The following is a 20306-nucleotide window of genomic DNA, read 5'->3' as shown; positions in this document are numbered from 1 at the left end:
AATTTCTTCACCTACAAAATGGGAATAGTGATGCTAAACTCATGAGACTGTTCTACAAATTAATTGAGAGGATACTATGTAAAGCAGGGACCTGGTCCAGAGTAGAATTAGTGGTATAAATAGACGATACCCCCAGTGTGGCTCTGCTGTGGGCAAGGCAGGACTTCTCCACCCAGCCCTTGTCTCAAAAGCCACCTTGGGGTTCGAGCTCTTTGCTCCAGTGAGACTGCCCACAACTGAGGTCATGCCCAGACAAATGCCACCCAAAGGCAGTTTCCTGGCATTCAGTGGAGTTATTCTTAATTCAATCCTGCTTCAAATTCAACTCCCTTGCTATAAATTTGAACATTGAAATCAAAGGTTTTAAGGTACCACTTCCAAATTGCTGAAGTAAAGCCTATTTGCTTGGGGGTGGTGACTTCCAAGATTCTCCCAAATTAATGGATTTACACATGAATTCCTTTCCCCATTTAACTAGGAAAGAGAGGAATCATGTCAGGAACCTCACAGAAGGATATCATTCAGAAATGATGATAAAACAGTTCTGAAATTACAACATAAGTAAATAAACACAAATCATTTCTGAGCTATTTGAATTGCACACATTTTCAATCGTTTATATTTTTGCTTTCATGAAAGCACACAATATTGCCTTTTGTTGTAGTTCACACTATTAGAGGATTGTGTTAATAAAGGAAAGTAAGTAAACTTGGGGTTGTGTAGAGAGAAAGAAAGTGAAGCAGAGATGAGGTCTCTGGTGCTTAGCCCTGAGAAAGACAGAGCTGAGTCAAAATGAGGAGGCCTGAGAAAAAGTTCTCTGGGCTTTCAACTGTTTAGGGCAGGGAGGGCAGAGAGGTGAGTAACTGCAGGGAGTGAGGAAGTTCCGCCACAGGCTGACAGGCTCTGTCCTGGAGTTATCCTGGGTGGAGATCAACTGGTATAATTCCATGCAATGAAAATGGAAGGAAAAAGCCCCCTTTAGCAGTGGTTACCATTTTTTCAAAATGATGCCCCAGAATTTGGGGGACTGTTGTCAGATTGCTGGCTGCCTTCCAATATGAGGCCTTTGCTTTTGCTATTGTAACAGAATCTTGGCTTTTAGATGGTCTGTTGCTGCTCAGCTAAAAGATGTTCCCCAGCTTCCCTTGCAGCTAGATGTGGCCATGTGACATAGTTCCAACCATTACTATGGGAATGTACACTGTGGCTCTCTAAGAGGAGTTCAGGGTATGGAGCATTTCCCAAGCTTATCGAACCATGAAGCATGGCCAAGGTGCCTTCTTGGAGTGAGTCTAAAAAAGTGGCTTTCTCTATCCTCAGGTGTCTTCCAGATCCAAACATCTATGAATTACCCTTTGCCTATGATCTATTTCCAAATGCATTCATCCAGGGTTTTCTCTGTTCCTTGCCTGCATCTTTGCAGTTCACAAGTTGAGCCCAGAAAATCGGCTAACTGGCATCCTTGCAGCAGAGTCCCAAGGTCATGGCTGGAAGAGTAGCAGGCCATGCTATGAGTCTGTGAAGGAAGCCCTTCCTGGGGCTTGGCATACAGTTTCCTTTGCCATCAGGCCCCTGGCTGTGCCCGATGTGCAAAGGTCCAGTCTCACCACAGTTGCTTCCCAGAAAACACACAAATGACTGTCCTTTATTCCCAGAACAGACTGGCACTTTTTTTTTTTTTTTTGGTGCTTTGCCAGAGGTTTCCCTGACAACCAAATTGGAATTTGTCCATTTGTCCTTTCCTGAGAGAACTCCATCTTGATGGGGGAGGCCGGCAGAATGGATTCAGGATCCCTTTCACAGTCTGAGCAGCTATCAGCTTCTGGGGTTTGAATCTTCCAAAAGCTGCTCTGTGTCCTGGCCCTGTAATTTTCACACTCTGGATCGTCTATGGGTGAAGGCCTCCAGTTTCTCTACAAGGACAACCTTTCTCATTGTGAGAATGGGTGTCCTTTCCATAGCCTCTTGCTCCTTAATGTGATAGGTTTTACAGTAATTTCTTCACGCCCTTTTGGTTCTTATGTAGACTACAAGTCTGTGGGCAAGGACCGTGACGAATTTTGCACTCTGCAGATAACTTTACTCACTTCTGGCACCAGTGTTGCTAGTTACTTAATATTCCAATTCAACTTTGTCAAGGTTTAAGTTGAGTAATATTTTCCCTAATGCTTTTTAATTTTTTTGAGACATAGAATCATTGAAGTCCAGTTGATGGAACTTTAAGTATAAAGTTTGGAAATCTCTGGCTTTACTGGATGGTTTTGGCATGAATTTCATAAAAAACTTTTCTTTACCAAGTACCTACTACATGCCAGACACTTTCCTACATTTTGGCCAATTTGCCTGAAAATGTGACAGTCAGCAAATTCCTGGGGGGATCTGAGGATATACTATCATTCTTCTGTTTCATGGTAATTGTGAAAAAAATCTATTATTAGCAAATTTAGAATCATCCAAATGATCTCAACTTATTAGGATTCCATGATTTGGTGATGACATATGTATTGTTTTAAAGGCTGAAATGGCATCAATTCCTTCAATAGTCTTGAAGTGTGAAAAAAGGAAGATATAAATGAGATCTCTATACTTCATGATGGCAAAATGGCATCACGGATGAAAGCTTCTGAGTCATTTAAATACAGAAGAGGGTGAGAGAATTGAATCATCACCCGTGCAGGAGCCCTGTGATGGAAACAGTGGCATCCTCATCTGTGTGGCCACACAGTTCCCATCCTTAGATGCACCAACTTGCAGTAAGTGCCGTGGATGGCTAAAGCTGGCGTCACCATTAAAATGAAAAATAACTGTGATAGTGTTAACAGTTCAAATGATGGCCCACCGTGCCTCAAAAATCAAAAGGATCCAGTGGGCAAAAGTGAAATGGAAAATAAGCAAATGTATCTTTCTACCACTAAAAGCAATGTTTGTGATTCAGTTTCCATAAAACAAAACTATTTGTTATATTAGATTAATGCTATTATTCAGAATGTCACTGGCCTGGTTTGCACCTCTCTCCTTTGTAAATCATTATTTTTTGTTTTATAATTGTTTATAAGCTATAAGGAGTAACTTTACCTGATTTAATATACACATTTTTAAGTAAATCATAATTTTTAAAAAAGCATTCAAGTTATCCCCAGGGTCATTTAATCCCTACATCTGTGAAGTTGGCAATATTATCTCCATTTTACAGGGAAACTGGAGCTTGGGGATATAGAGCTCTACCTCAGTGAGTGAAAAACAAGCCAGAGGCTGGGCATGGTGGCTCATGTCTGTAATCCCAGCACTTTGGGAGGCTGAGGCAGGGGGACCACCTGAAGTCAGGAGTTTGAGACCAGCCTGGCCAACATGGTAGAAACCACGTCTCTACCAAAAATTAGCCAGTCATGGTGGTGGGTGCCTGTAATCCCAGCTACTCGGGAGGCTGAGGCAGGAGAATTGGCTGAACCCGGGAGGCCGAGGATGCAGTGAGCTGAGATCATGTCACTGTACTGTACTCCAGCCTGGGCAATAGAGCGAGACTCTGTCTCAAAAAAAAAAAAAAAAAAAAAAAGCAAGCCAGAATAGAATTCAGTCTACCTAATCCTAATGACCTTCTATTGCCTTCCTAAAGCAAAAGATGCTTTCTTGGATAGGATATCTGGCCTCTGGATCATTTTATCAAGTTGTAATTCACCAACAACCATTTCACTGAAAGGCCAAAAATACTAGCCAAGAGCTAGTCAAATGTTCTTTTCATTGAAGAGGGGTAAAAAAAAAAGGACCCAAGGTTCCAATTTCCCAAACACTTCCCCATGGAAACAGAAGTAGATACAGGCAGGGGCAGGAACAGGAGCAGAGCAGAAGCCCAAAGAGACAGTTTAGGGGACATAAAACAGCAAAAATGGATTTAAAGGAAAGCCCAGTCATTCACACTTAGAAGAATTCCTGGACTAACAATTCTAAGCCAAGGCAGCTGCGGCAACGTTGAGGCAGAATCAAAACCTGGGGAAAGACCTTAGGTATTCAGGTAGGTTCACTAACTGGCAAATTTATTTTGGGAGAACTGGCTTTTGAACTGTGTGAAATCTAGTTTTGGGGCTATTTCTTCACCAATAGTGAACTCTACTGGGAAGCAGATTTTGCCTGGGTTTCCTGGATCCAGCTAGGTCCTCACTCTGACACGAGAGGTAAACAGATGCAAAGGAGACAGAAAATCTGCTAGTGAGGTCTTTCCTGGGGCTCTTATCATTGTTTCTCTTTGTTCTCCACAAGTCCTTGTGGTCACCTGCATTTATTAATGTGTCCTTTAGAACTAGTGTTTTCTAGCTCTTTGGGAAAAGCTATAGCCCCAGGGCAACTGCAAAAACAGAAAGTCCCTAGAGGAATCTGTGTGGAGGGACTAGAATCTGGATATTGGGTTCATATTGCTGGAAGATTTTCCAGAGTTCAGGTCAAAATGAATGAAGATATATTTGGACTCCCTCTTTCTTTCTTTTCTTTTCTTTCTTTCTTACTTTCTTTCTCTTTCTTTTTATTTTCATTCTCTCTCTTTTCTTTCTTTCCTTCCTTCCTTCCTCTCTTGCCTTTCTTTCTTTCTCCTTCCTTCCTTGCTCTTTCCTCCTTCCTTCTTTCTCTCTTTCTCTCACTGTTTCCTCCTCCCTCCCCCCTTCCTTCTCTCTTTCTTTCTTTTTCTCTTCTTTCCTTTCTTCCTTCCTTCCTTTCTTTCTTTCTGTCCTTCCTTGCTTCTTTCTCTCTCTCTTTCCTTCCTCCCTCCCTCTCTCCCTTCCTTTCCTTTCTTTCTCCCTTCCCTTCTCTTCCCTTCTCTCCTTCTCTCTCTCTCTCTTTTTTCCTTTCTTTTTCTCCCTTTCTTCTGATTAGATTTCTCAGTGTTCAGCTGGCTCTGTTTGGCTTGATAGCTTTCCAAATAAATCAGATTGGCATTTTAAAAGTTAGCCAGATATAAGAAGACACATCAGATGTGTTCTGTACCATGACAATTTTATAGTGTTGAAGAATAATTAAGACATTTACTCAATGAAACTGCCAGATAACAAATGATATAGAGAATAAATTGCTGCTTCAGGGAAAAATCACCTTCCATTTCTCAAAGCATCTTCCATTTCTAAGAATACTGAAAGTTTCTCAAAGGGCCCCCATTTCTAAGAACACTAAATCACGTAACTTAATACCTATCTGTATTAGTTTCATGGGACTGCTGTAACAAAGAACCAAAAACTGGGTGATTGAAAACAACAGAAATTTACTGTCTCACAGTTCTGGGAGCTAGAAGTCTGAAATTAAAGTGTTGGCAGGGTTGCTTCCTTCTGGAGGAACTGAGAATCAGTTCCACACCCTCTCCTAGCTTGCGGTGGCTGTGGACAGTCCGTAGTGTTCCTTGGTTTGTAGATGCATCACTTCAATCTCTGCCTTCACTGCACATGGCATTCTCCTCTCTGTGTGTCTGTGTCCAAATTTCCTTTTTCTTACAAGAACAACAGCCATTGGATTAAGGTTCACCTTAATATCATATAATCTCATCTTACCTTGATAACATCTGTAAAGACCCTATTTTCAAATAAGGCCACACTCACATGTACTGGGAGTTAGGACTTCAACATGTCTTTCTGGGGGATACAATTCTACTCTGTATACCATCCAATACAAAACCAACAGAACCATGAAGTCCATTTTCTACAATATAACCAAGCGGCTTTAAAAAAAAAAAAAGGCTCATTGAATTCCAGTTTTTAAATGGCAAATTTTGTCATTGCAAATGCAATGAGCTCTGTCCCACTCCCAAATACCACTAAAACAAACATAAGGGAACTTTTAGAGGCATAAACTCATAGGAAAAAGAGGAGAGAGAAAATGTACTACAAAATTTTGGAAGCTGGGAAGGAGATAAGCAAGTGCTTACTATCTTAGCAGTTCAAGAAATCTGAATCCTAAGGGGAAAAAAAGGAAACTTGAGTACAACGTGTTTTTTATCCCTCTGTCCCCAAGGAACTCAGGAATGGAAGCCACTAGATACCTTTGGAAGGGGGAGAGAAAGCATTTGTGGAAAACTGGCTTCAGAAGCAGTTAGAACCCAAGGACCTCTCCCCAAAATACCAAATCTGAATGAGTGCCCCTCCTTCACCCTGAAAGAAGTTGTTGTTTTGTTTTCTAATAAAAAACTTCCTGGTGAAACTTTCTGGACAGAGGATCACTTAGAACAATTGAGGTCGGGGCTATTGTGCTGAAAATATGAAGCACTGGGACTCCAGGCTTCTTCCCCTACTCAGTCAGGCATGTGCCCTCCAGGTAGGAAATTGGGAGAGTCTGCTCAGTGGAATCTGATCACTCCCTTTCCCTCAAAAAGGCCTGAAAATACAGACATCAAAAGTTCCTGAAAGGAATGATCCAGCCAGATACTCTATAGTGAAGATGACAGACCTTAAGCCCCAACGTCATAAATGGAGCTTCCAACCAACATCGGAGTGCCCTCTCCTTAAATACAAGCCAACAGTTCAGGACCAGCAGACATTAGAGGAAAGCCACGAAACAAGAGAAAGACCAACAAAATAGACGGGGTGGGGGACATAAACTTGAATAAACAAACTCTATAAGGGGAGAAAACCTAATTAATGTTATAATCAGAAAGATATTGCGTCTAAAAAACTAAGAATGAGATGCTATGAAAAGGAACATTCAGAGAACCAAAAGAGAGTTCTTAAAAATTAAAACTAAGGTAGAGGGAATGAAAAATTCAAAAGAAAAATTGGAAGACAATATGGAAGAAATCTCCAAAAAAGTAGGATGGAAGATAGGAGAGGAAAGATAAGAAAATTAGAGGACCAGGCTAGGGAGAAATATAATAATAATAATAACTTGAGAAAATGTTTTCATAATTGAAGGCTATGAGATTTTTTTAAAAGACACAGGGAGATGGGGGCAGGAGGAACGGACAAATCTCATACTAAGGATTGAGAATCAGAATGACTTCAGACTTGTCAACAACACCTTGAAAACCTTAAGGAAATGAGATTTTATACCCCGCCAAACTATCGATTAAATGTAGAAGGCATAAAAAATTTTTTGAAAAGTAAAGTTTCAAAAAAATGTCACCTCTTACATAGAAAGCTACTTGAGGATGTTCTTGGCCAAACAAGAGAACAAACCAAGGAAGAGAAAGACACAGAATACAGGAACTATGAGATCAATTCAACACAGGAGAGAGGCTAAGGAAATCCTCAGGTTAATGTCAAAGAAAGAGTCAAGGCCAAGAGGTATGCAGCCAGCCTGGACAGCAACCAGCCCAGACTGGAGCAGTTCAGAAAACTCCAAGGGCAATTAAAAGAAAAAATTGTGATAGAATTCCTAATTTACTTAAACATATTGAAAGGAGATTTACACAACCAGAGGAGGGTTTGATGTGAATTAGTGATGCATTCACATTAAAAAAAAAAAAACAAACACATATTTTTAATGCAGCAAACATAAAATATTGTCTGTGAAAGGAAAAGTAATCCTAATCTGGTTTAGCTGCGAAAAGTGTCAACAAAACACCAACAAAGAACACTGATCTAACCGAGTTATGCTACAATGTATTGGCAGTGGTGGGATGGAGGTGAAAGAGTGAAAACCTCACCTTTCATGAGGGTAATCAATAGATCAGGCCTTAGACCGAAACATCAAGAAAGAGTATGACTTGCCAATTATTTAGAGACAAGGAAATGAAACAAGAGAACGAGCTTAAATAGTTGACAGTAGTTACTCCAAGAGAACTGATAAAGTGGGATGCATAACAGGGTTGATTTTCATAGCAAGCCTTTTAGAACTATTTGTCTAAATTTTATTCATGTGGTATATAGCCCGGTAGAGCTGGTGGTTACCACATTGGACAACACAGGTAGAAGGAGAAATAAATAAAAAACTAGTTTACACAACTAGTTAATTATAAATGTAAGTGCTCTGAAAGAGAAGTCAGGAACTATGAAAAAATAAAACTGGGAAATGTCACCTAATCTAAGGGTCAGCTAAGACTTATCTGAGATATTGGCATCTGTGCTAAAAACAGAAGCTATATTTGATGAATATCTTTAAAAAAACTTTAATGTAATTGGATCAAGGGACTTTCCTGCTCAAAACCCATCCAAGGCTTCTCATTGCTGTTAGGATGAAGTCCAAGCTCCTCATTGTGGCCTACATGCTCCCATGTGATCCAGCCTTTCCTGCTCCCAGCACTGCCTCCCCTCACTCATGGCTTGCATGATGCTCCAATAACATTGCTGTCCTCCAATAGCTGGAAAATGCCAAACTCTTCCTGCCTCAAGGCCTTTGCACATGCTGTTCCTTTTGCTAGAAATGTTCCCCATACCAACTTTTCATCATATCTGACTTCTCTTTTGTAGCACTTGCAACAATAATAATTAATTGTATGAGTTCGTATGCTATCTACCTCTTCTGCCTGTGCTGTCCAATATGGTAGCCGCCAGCTCTACTGGGCTATGCTAATTTAAATTAACATTAAATCATGTGAAAAATTCAGTTCTTCAGCAGCACTAGCTCCATTTCCAGTGATCCATAGTCATAAGGCTGTATTGGACAATGCAAAGAACATTGAGTCTCTGGACAGCGCTGCTCTAGACTGCAAACTCCACAAGGACTCCTCCTAGATCTAGCCTGAGTGCCTAGGACTATGTCTAGCACTTTGAAAGCGCACCCTACATAATTGTTGAATAAATAAATTCATTCATTCATTTAGGGTAAGGCCACTGCCCTGTCTGAAAGGACATTTATATTTGGTCTATCTTAGTATCTGAAGCCTTTCAATAATGTCTATTTCTATATAATCCCAATGGCAAAATCCACATCAAAGAAAATTAAAATTTAGGTAGCAAAATAAATAAATACTCATGGGACCATTTAGGTCATAATAGTGGACTTAAGAGACTCATGAAGGCAAAGCGTTCCATTTCACCCCAGGTATCATTCTTAGAAATAGGTTCCCCATTTGTGTTACAAACCAATCATTAGAATTAACCTGGAAGATGTGTATTTTCAGAGTCCATTTAGATTTAAAGCATCTTAAAGTATCCTTTGACTGTGCCAAGTGAAGTCACTTTGGGCATTGTGGATTATAAATCCAGTTTAGATGCTGTATTTAGCATTATACACAAAGAAAGATATTAAATAGGTACAATTTTCTTTTAAGAGGATTATTACCAGGCTTTCAAAGGAGCACAAGCACCTCATTAATAGTGAATGTGTTCATTGGGTTTGAACAAATTCAACAACCCAGAGATGCATTCAAATATATTTATTTAAGCATTCTGGAGGTTTTCAAAAAAATAAAATCAGATCTTTCAAGACAACAGTAAAATCACTATCTTTCTTTCCCCAGCATGCTGACTGTGGGACAATCTCCTTGCCAGTGTCACTGTCCATTCCAAAAACAAAAAAACAAAACGGTTTCTGCCCTCAGGCCCGTTGTCTCCCATACCCTCCCACACATCTGCTCCACTTCAAGCCTGGATTCAAGGAGGTCCCTGGAAACAAAGAAAATATTCCTGAGGCTTAAAAAAAAGTGTGAGGAAACAGGGCTCTTTGGCTCTTTTTCAATGATGGAAATTTAGCTTCTCCTTCTCTTTATCTGTCTCTCTTCCCTCTTGGTTCTCTCTCTAGAACAAAACAATCAGCAGGCGGGTCTGCGGCATTCTAAGAACAGACACTGGCAGGAACAAAGGTTACAGAAGTGAATGACTCTAAGAATCAAGCAAGACATGGAGTGGCAGAAAATTAAATTCTGAATCCCTAAAAGACATGATGCAAAGATGACCTCCTCTCCCAAGGACATGTCCTCATCCTGCGCTGACCGTGTGTGGTCATTTCAGAAAAAGCGAACAATGGAGAACCTGCTTGAATGATACTTAGACCTGGGACAACTGAAAGGAGTTGCACTTATACAATTCGGTGCAGTGGAGTCCCCTGGGAGGAGCCCCAGTCACACGGGAAGAGACAGTCACAGCTGTAATAAATGATGGCTAGCATGTATCAAGCACTGGCCGAGTCCTCAGCATACATTACATTACAGAATTCAGTGTGCACCTCAACACTCTGGGGGTGTATTTTATAGGAGAACTGTGGCACAAAGAGGGTAAGTGTCTTACTAACAGTGTGGCTCATCTGCCAAGCAGGGGTAATCTGACCCCATGAGGTTGCCACAAGTATTCAATTAGTTTTATTTTACAGTTAGAACAGTGGCTGGCTGAAGAAGTAAAATATACAAGTATTTGTTATGCAAAAACAAATAAGTCATAAATCTCCATCTTATAGGTAAGAAAATGCATTCTGGTTTTTGTTCTGTTGCTGACAAACTATGGGACTTCAGGCAAGGCTGTGAAACTCTTGGGTCTTGATTGCCTCCTAAAAACCTCAGCGTTTGTACTCAATGATTATTTGGATCCTTTTTCAGCTCCAAGCTTCTTCCAATGAATGGAACATAATTTCTTTGTAGCTTTTCCTTCACCTTACTCCCCTTGTGCTCATAATCTAGGGATTTTAACAGAAGGGGAGTTTGTAAAGGAACAGGGGCATTTTGGGTTGTCTTGATGACAAGGGGACCATACTGCATTTGGTAGGAGCGTGAAGGGATGCTTAGTGTTTAGCAACGCTTGCTGCAGTCCCACCCAAGATGCCAATGGCTCTCCTGTAGAAAATACAGTCAGCTTCAGAACGCTGGTAGAAATCATGATGTAACACAGAAATGCAAAGGGAAGGTTTTCTGTCAAAGTTGTGGAGCCACCCAGCCATGAAACCATGCAAACTGTGGCCAGACTGCTATGCTTCCATATTATCATGCAGCTAAACAGTCACACAATTATGCAGCTATGCAACCACACAGCTGGATGTCCATGGAGCCATGCCCCAAATCCCACAGTTTTGAAACCAAGCAATAGCCTATCACATTCTTCAAATGCAAGACAGATACCAAAGTTAGTGTGTTCCTACTTGTCAGTCTCAGACAACAGTAATGGCAAGCCTTTTTAGGGGACAGGTAATGAGCAAGACCCAATTCCTGACTCCAAGAAACACTCATCTGGGGAAGGGCAGACCTGTGCACATGTGCACAAGGCTGACCATACAGCAGTGGAAATAGCAATGAGAAGAAAAGGCGTATGGGGAAAACAGAGATTCGTTCCACTTGGGGAGGGCCTAGGGAGGCTTTGCAGAGGGGTGGCTTTTGGGTTAGATTTGTACAATGAGTAAGGGTGAAGGTAAAATGTTCCATCGGAGGAAGTTGCAAGACTAAATACATAGAGAAGGAAGGAAAGGGCAGGCCTAGTGAGGACTCAATAGTGTGGTATTGGTAGGAATAGAAGACTCAGACCTGATGGCTGAAGGCCTGGAATGCCATGCCAAGAATTTCATCATTTGTCTAGTAGGAAATAGTGGTCATGAAATATTATTGGGCACAAGAGTGACACGATCACATCCATCCTCCAGAAAGACTCTTTGGCAGGAATGTGAGAAATGAACTGAAGAAAAGTCAGAAGTAAACGAGAGGTTTAGAGGTTCCAGTGCAGACACACAATCCTATCCCTGCTTCCGTTGACACTGGAATAAAGCCCAAACTCCTGCTCATCACTCACAAGGTCCTAAATAGTCTACCTCCTTACAGACATCCTCTCCTACCCCACATCCCTCTCCCAGTTTCCCCCAGTTACTTTCACCTCACTCTGTGCCTCAATCACATTAAGCCCATTCCTGTCTCAGGGCCTTTGCACTACTGGGGGCCCCTCCTGGAGCACTCTATCCCCTAATGCTCACAAAGCAGCTCCTGCTCTTCACTCACAAGTTAGCTCCTTCCTCAAAGACCCCTCGCCTTACCACCCAATCTGCTAGGCTTCCCCATCTCCAGTCACTCTCTATTTTATTATCTTGGTTTTCTTCACGGTGCTTACCAATGTCTGAAATTGCCTTGGTTATTTCTTTCTCTACCCATCACCATTAGCTCAAACCCAAATGTAAGCTCTGAGAGAAGAATCTTGGTCTTGTCCACTGCTCCAGCCCCAGCATCTAAAACAGCACTCACTCTAGGGTGGGTGCTGAAGAATATTTGTGGGAAGGAAGGAAGGAAGGATTTTCTGTGTGATAAATACACAAAATTCAACTGAGCTTGTGATTTTGTAAGAGACACACATGGAGCAATAGGGGAGGAAGGGAATGACTGCCTAGCCACCAAGATGCCCCCACATTCAGGAAGGGCAGTGGTAGGTGATTTGAAGGGGAGCATTAATGAGGGCCTGAACTAGGGCAGCAGTTGGGCCTGGAAAGAAAGGAACAATTCACTGCAACCATTCATTTCAGAGACAGACTGTAGAAGTTGGTGCCTGATTAGATGTGCAGAGAAAGATAGGAATAAGACAAAAATAACCCCAAAGTCTTACACCTGAACAACCAGAGATGATTCTGATGAACAGAGAGGGATGGCACCATAGGGTGGGCAGGTGTGAGGGACAAGAGGTTAATTTGGTTTGGGGCAAGTTGAATTTGAGGAACTTGGCTGACAGTATTTGGATGCCTTGTGATGGTTGGAAATGTGGTCTGGAATCAAGAGCAGATATGGCGGGGAGCAGCCACTGGGAGGATAACGTCAGCAGCAGGTGAGTCTTCTGGGAGAGCCTGCTGGATAAGAGAAGAGAACTGGGCAAGGGCGTGAAGAGACGTGGGTAGAGCATGGGACAAATCATGAAAGAGGAACTAAAAAAGAGGACGAGGCAGAGAAGACATAATCAGAGGTGGAAGGGAAATGGTGGTGTAGGGAAACTGAGGGAGAAGGTCCATTTCCAAAATGTGGAGTAAGGGTAGGCAGAGGAGATTGGCCAGGTCAGTGGTGCTGAAAGCTGCAGAAAGGGACATGGGCGCTGACTCTCCATTTACAAGGTAATTGGTACTCTTTGTGATAAGAGTTTCAGTAGATTAATAGGAATGGAAATTCCCTGTAACATGTGCAGGAATCTATCTGGACCCATTTGCTTCTCCCCAGTGAGACTTGGGGGAACAGGGACTGATGCAAATATGCTAATGCTCAAAAGGTTTGCTATGCTACAGTTGTAACGTCCTTTGTTTCTGACCCTGGAGTCTCGTGTCTTACCAGTATTCAAGAAACTGTGACGGGCTAACTTGTAGGGTAAAATCTCAGGTCCTTTATAGTTATTATTAAAACTACCATGCTTTTCTAGAAACTTGCCATTCCTCCATTAAGAAGTGGAGTCTGATTCCCCTCCTTTTAAATCTGGGCAGGCTTGTGACTCATTTATAACCAATAGAATACAGGAGAAATAAACTGTATAATTTCCGAGACTAGGACATAAAAGGCAATGCAGCTTCTACCTTGCTAACTGGGGCTTGCACTGGAGTTCTGAGCAGTTATGCAAACATGCTGACTGCCCTGGGCCACCATGCTGTGAGGAAGCCCAAACTAGCCCTTGCAGAAAGAGCATATGGAGAAGTGCTGGGACTGTACCGAGAGAGATGCCCAACCAGTCCCAGCTGTTCCATCTGACAGCAAAACCCCAGCAATTTTATTCAACAAATAACTTCAGGTTTTTGCTTTTCAACTTTTTGCTTTTAGACTTTTTGCTTTTCAAAATATCTCAGTCACCTTCAAAGGATGAAGATTTACAACTAGTGAATATGGTCAAAAGAACAGGCCCAAGCTGGGCATGGTGGCTCATTCCTGTAATCCCAACACTTCCGGAGGCCAAGGTGGGAGAATTGCTTCAGCCCAGGAGTTGGAGACCAGCATGGGCAACATGGCAAAACCCCATCTCTATGAAAAAAATGTTTTTAATTAGCTGGGCATGGTGGCTCACCTGTGGTCCCAGCTACTTGGGAGGCTGAGGTAGAAAAACTGCTTGAGACTAGGAGATCAAGGCTGCAGTGAACCTTGATCGTATCACTGTGCTTCAGCCTGGGTGACAGAGCAAAACCCTGTTTCAAAAAAACAAAAACAAAAAACAAACAAAGAACAGGCCCAGAGATGTGAACAGATTGTATATAGGGCAGAAATGGCAGTTTTTCCAGAATTGTATAAAAAGATGGCAACTTCATTCTTAGAGGGCACACTAAAACTAAGTGAGCTACAATTCCTTACCTACTAAAGTGATAAAAATCCCTAAGTTTGATAATCTACCCTACTGGCAGGGCTATGGGGAAACAGGCACTTTCATATGCTGCTGATGGGAATGCAAAATGGCACAAGGCCTCTGGGGGAAAATTTGGCAATATCTAGCAAAATTACATTTGCATTCAGCATTTGGCCCAGCTGTACCACTTTTTAGGGATCTACCTAAATCTACACTGGAAAAAAATGAAAAGACACATGGACAAGACTATTTGTTACAGTAAAAGATTGGGAACAGCCCTAATGGCCATCAGTAGGAGACTGGTTTAATAAACCAGGACACATCCACACAATCGAGCGCTATGCAGCTATAAAAAGGAATGAGGAATTTATGTAGTGCTTTGAAGTGATATCTGGGATATAGTCTTCAGTGAAAGTCAAGGGACAGAACAGTAGGTATAGTATGCTGCCTTTTATCTTAAAAATGAAAAGCATCTAAATATATAGATACAGATATGGATATAGAGATTTCTGTGTATGTGTGCATATGTTTGCTTATTTGAAAAAAAAAAGATAAACCAAAAACTAATAAAATGGTTATCTATAGGATGACAAAGGAATCAGAGGAAAGGGGGCAGAGATAATGAAAGCCAAACTTCTTATATGTAGCTTATTTTATAGATTTGTCTTTAGAACCATGTAAATGTTTGACCAATATAAAACAAAATTAAACTGAAATGAAAGAAACAGCAATTTTTCCTGAAATGCAAAAGTAAAATGAAACAAATGAACCTACCTGTCTAGCAAGTTGATGGCTTAACCACTGTGATGGTTAATACTGAGTGTCAACTTGATTGGATTGAAGGATGCAAAGTATTGATCCTGGGTGTGTCTGTGAGGGTGTTGCCAAAGGAGATTAACATTTGAGTCAGTGGGCTGGGGAAGGCAGACCCACCCTTAATCTGGGTGGGCACCATCTAATCAGCTGCCAGTGAATATAAATCAGGCAGAAAAACGTGAAAAGGCAAGACTGGCCTAGCCTCCCAGCCTACATCTTTCTCCCGTGCTGGGTGCTTCCTGCTGTCAAACATCAGACTCCAAATTCTTTGTTTTGGGACTCAAACGGGCTCTCCTTGCTCCTCAGCTTGCAGACAGCCTATTGTGGGACCTTGTGATCATGTAAGTTAATACTTAATAAACTCCCCTTTATATATATATGTATAGACTATTAGTTCTGTTCCTCTGGAGAACCCTCATACAGCCACCCAGCAATAAATTATTTCAATTTACTTTAAAACACAGTAATCTAACTGTATGTCCCTATTGGGATATACCCTAAAGACAAAAAACTCCCAAAAAATCTTTAAAAACATTTTCAGTAATCACACTGAGGCAGGAAAATAGAGTCTGGAGGCAGGGAACATAATGCCTATCCACACTTCAGCTATAACAGGAAACATCCTCTCCATAGGGCATAGGTGGTAAATGACTTTGTAACTTTACTTCATCCTCTCCATTTACATAGGGCATACCCAAAGTAACCAATGGAATCCTCTAAGGGATATTTAAACTCCCCAAAATTCTGTAATGCGGCCTTTGAGCCCCTATGCTTGGGCCTGCTCTTACACTGTGGAGTGTACTTTCATTCTCAATAAATCCCTTCATTCTTTCCTTGCTTTGTTTGTGCATTTTGTCCAATTATGTGTTCAAGATGCCAAGAACCTGGACACCCTCCACTGTTAACAATACTGTTACATATATAAGACAAAGCAACCTTAGTTTCTTACTTATAATGTTGTTAGGAACCAAGATATTTAGCATCTAAAAAAAAAGAATAAAGTTTTAAAAGGATGAAAAATCTGAATTGATAATATCAATACAAACACATAGTCTCTTTAAAAATAGTTTCTAGCTCTGTCCAGTGAAAAGAGATATAAACAACAGCCAACCCAGTAGCAACAAGCAGCCTAGGTGCCCAGGCTGTAGGCTCTAAGTATAGTACTTCAGTTAGAGGAACCAGGGCTCCTTAGAGAAATCGGTAATTCCAAGTCCTAGCCCAGAAAAATAAAAGAATGAGCCTATAAAAACATAATAAGCCTAGAAATAATAATAAGCCTAGAAAAACATACCATACCAGAAAGCCAGGACTATCAAAGACTACTAGAAGTGTGTGAAAAGGAGTCAAGAGTCAAACGGGGGATCCCACTAGCCAAAGATGGGAAACCCTGAGTATACACATACAAGATAATAAGTGCAATGAGTTAAAACCCATCCAATATGCTAATGAGCCATGAATCCATCATGACGCTTTAAGAAACACTCCTTGGGCCACCTTTGGAGGATACTAGGGGAGAAACTGAGAACTGATCATTAAAGGGAAAACATTTGGCATTTACTCAGACTTTTCAGGAAAGCCAAAAAGGATGTGGGGAAAAGTTATTCTTTATAAAAGAATTCCAAGTAATAAATGTTGAAGAAATGTTAGACTATCACCATTTTGTAATTCCTAATGAAATAATTGATGTAGGCAATGATTATCAATAACTGCTAAAAGCATTAGGTAGAAAGCTGATGAGAAACTTTATAAAGGATAGATCAGGTGGCCTAAGCCAATCTTAACATCACAAAAAACAAGATATAACCTGATGTGTGGTTCCTGATGTAGAACCACACGATGGAAAGAATACCTCATCACCTATGAAGTTTCCTACTGAAAAAGCAAACCAGAATTCCGTCAAGCCTATTGTTCTATCAGTTTACAGAGAATACAGAAACTTTTTTCAATTAATTAATTAATTTTTAAATTGACAAAATTTTGTATGTGGTGTACAACATGATATTTTGATATATGTATATATTCTTGAATGGCTAAATCAAGCTAATTAACATATTCATGATCTCAGATATCTTTCTTCGTGGTGAGATCATTTAAAATCTACTTTTTAAACATTCAAATACAATTGTCCCTCCCTCCCTGCAGGTTCCATTTTTGCAGTCTCAGTTACCTGTGGTCAACCAAAGTCCAAAAATATTAAATGGAAAATTCCAGAAATAAACAATTCTTAAGTTTTAAATTGTGTGCCATTCTGAGTAGCATGATGAAATATCTTGCTGTCCTGCTTTGTCTCGCCTGGGATGTGTATGTATGTATGTATGTATGTATGTATTGTATGTATTGTATATATGTATTGTCCTATGTATCCGTGCTGTAGACACCATTGGCCTGTTAGTTACTTTGTAGCCCTCTTGGTGTTCAGATCAATTGTCCAGGTATCATGGTGCTTACATTCAAGTCACCCTTCTTTTACTTAATAATGGCACCAAAGCAAGAGTAGTGATGCTGGCAATTCTGATATGCCAAAGAAAAGCCCTAAAGTGCTTCTTTAAAATAAAGTATGAAAGTTCTCTATTTAATAAAGAAAGGAAGAACAATATATATAGGGTTTTGTACTAATTGTGGCTTCAGGCATCCCCTGGAAGTATTGGAACTTATTCTCCATGGATAAGGAGGAACTACTCTATACAATACATTGTTATTAACGCTAGTCACCATGTTGCGCAATAGCTTTCCTGAAGGTTTTCCTCCTGTCTAACTGAATATAGCAACATTTTAAACAACACCACAGGGAGGCAATCAGCAAAATCCAAAAAATTAGAAACTCTACAAGACAAAACAACCAGTTTCTTCAACAAATAAATTGAAGGGGAAAGGGAGGAAATGGGAAACCTATAAACTGAAAGAAACAAGAAAAATATAAACCAAATACAACATGCAGATGTTGTTTGTATCTCAATTCAAACAAACCAATGAGAGAAAAACATTTATGAGACCATTGGGAAAATTTGGGCACTGGCTGAATTTTTATTACATTAGAGAATTAAGAATTAAGGAATTTTCATTAATTTTAGATGTGATAATGGTATTGTGGTTATATATTAGGTTGAAGCATACGGAATTGCTGATATTATACCATTTCAACCTATAAAAAATGACAATTTAATATAGTCCAATCCAATATCTTTTTACTTTTTAAAAATTTTCTTTTGAAACAGGGTCTTGCTCTGTTGCCCTGGCTGGAGTGCAGTGGTGTAATTTCAACTCACTGTAACCTCTGCCTCCCAGGCTCAAGCAGGCTTAGCCTCCAGAATAGCTGGGACTACAGGCATGCACCACCATGCTTGGCTAATTTTTTAAAAATAATTTTTTTATAGAGATGAGGCCTCACTATATTGCCCAGGACGGTCTCATACTCATAGGCTCAGGTGATCCTCCTGCCTCAGCCTCCCAATGTGCTGGGATTACTGGTGTGAGCCACCATGACAGCCCCAATATCTTTTTAAAAGAGTCCTAATTTCTTAGAGATTCATACTAAAGTATTCATGGATGAAGTTACATGACTTCCGGAATTTGCTTCAAAATTACCCAATTGATGAAGGGGAATGGAGGCAGAGATGAAACAAGATTTGCAATGCGTTGAAGCTGTGATGGATACGTGGGGGTTTATTATATAATATTATCCAAATATATATATATATAGCTTGAAATATGTGCGTATAAAGTTTCAAATTTTCATATATGTTTGAAATGTTATATTAAAAAATGTCTAAGGCTACAATTAAGGGGTTCTAGAATTGTTTTGAGCAATTGCAACCAGATGGTGTTTGATGCTCAATTGAAGATATAATCTCCATTTGTGTGTGGTGTGTGTGTGTGTGTGTGTGTGTGTACCTACACACATATTCAGATCACCTTTTCATATAACTTTTTTGTATATCATATACATTCCACACTAATTTTTTGCTTACTGCTACAGGGTTTTGCAATCCCAAGAAGAGTCAGCGTTTGAATTTTGAATTTATGTGCAAAAGAGACAAATATGGCTAAAGGGCATGGGCACACTCTCTCTGGGTCCCCGTGTTAACGATTTTAGTAGCTTCTATTTAAATGGTGCTCTTTCTCTAAGAAGATCATTGGGTATTTTCTGAAAGCTTACATAATGGCTGGAAGCCCCCTGCCTCTGCAAAGGAACACCTGATTCAGAAAAGTAAACACCATAACAGCAACCCATTCATCAGCTGCCCAGACTCACAACCAAGCAGACATGCAGCGACTTTCCAAAAACCCTCATTTCTGGCATTACAGCCTGTGGCAATAACAGAGTTAAGGAAAGGTAAGTGAAACTCAGAGAGACACAGTGAGATAATTATTCCTCACGCCTGTTAGAAGAACATTCCACCGTCTCAGAAGAAGCCCTGTCTGAATCTGATTCAGCTGAGAAAACAACTCAGGCCATGGTAGCTGCACCCAACTCTCTAAATCAACAGTGACCTGTGCTGAAGGGATTAAGGCATCCCAACATTCCTCAGAGCCCAAGGCAAGGAGAATCCCTTATGAAGATGAAATTGATCTTCAAGCACCCTCTACCTTACTCTGCGTGATGCCATATTCTTCCTGAATCCCACCCAACTCAAGAGCATGATTTGCATAATAAAATCTCTAATACTTTGATGAACAAATGTTATCCAAGATACTTTAAAAACTGCCTTCACGGTGAGAAATGAACTTAATTCCATTAATTCATTGTCTGTTCGTTATTCTAGAAACATTATTTGAGTGTTCAGCATGTGCTGAGCTATTTAGAGATGTTTCTGAGGGCTAGGACTAGTAACTGCAAATCCTATGCTTTTTTTTCTCTCTTCCACACTGCCTTGGGGATTAAAGACAGTGGCTCTTAAATCTGGCTGTGCTTCAAAATCATCTAGGACAGGAGTGGGCATTGGAACACAGACACGCTCATTCATTTATATATTGTCTATAGCTGCTTTGGCATTAAAAACAGAGAAGTTGAGTAGTTGCAAAAGAAATCACGTGGCCCACAAAGCCTGAAATATTTACCCTCTGTCCCTTTACAGAAAAAGTTTGCTAACCTCTGATCTAGGACCTCTGGACCAGCAGCATCAGCATCACTTGGAAGCCTGTCAAACATGCAGAATCTCAGGTCCACCCCAGACCCACGAAATTTCACTCTCCACTGACCTAGAGAACATGGAGACACTGCAGGTTTTCTAGCTGCACTCCCACTACCAAATCAGAAGTGCCTGGGGTGGGACGTTTGTTTGAGATTCCCCAGGTGAATCTGATATGCAGCCACTAGGGAAGCAGAAAGATGAGTAAGGTGATTACTGCCAGGTCTTCCTATGGGACGGCAGCACC

The 20306-nt window shown here is 40.6% G+C and overlaps 1 protein-coding gene and 1 long non-coding RNA gene across 4 annotated transcripts in view; one reads left to right on the top strand and one right to left on the bottom strand.

Moving 5' to 3' along the window:
- The window catches only part of BAALC (BAALC binder of MAP3K1 and KLF4), an 89581-nt gene that overhangs the window by 54361 nt on the left and 14914 nt on the right, over positions 1–20306 (bottom strand). The window lies entirely within an intron of this gene.
- BAALC-AS1 (BAALC antisense RNA 1) lies at positions 3805–18955 on the top strand. The gene is made up of 3 exons (NR_109954.1): positions 3805–4009; positions 9649–10120; positions 18907–18955. It is a non-coding gene; the product is annotated as a BAALC antisense RNA 1 (long non-coding RNA).

This window comes from Homo sapiens, chromosome 8 (genome assembly GCF_000001405.40).
Source record: "Homo sapiens chromosome 8, GRCh38.p14 Primary Assembly".
NCBI lineage: Eukaryota > Metazoa > Chordata > Mammalia > Primates > Hominidae > Homo > Homo sapiens.
The sequence above is the reverse complement of the archived record's forward strand: the minus strand, read 5'-3'. Positions and strand labels throughout refer to the sequence as shown.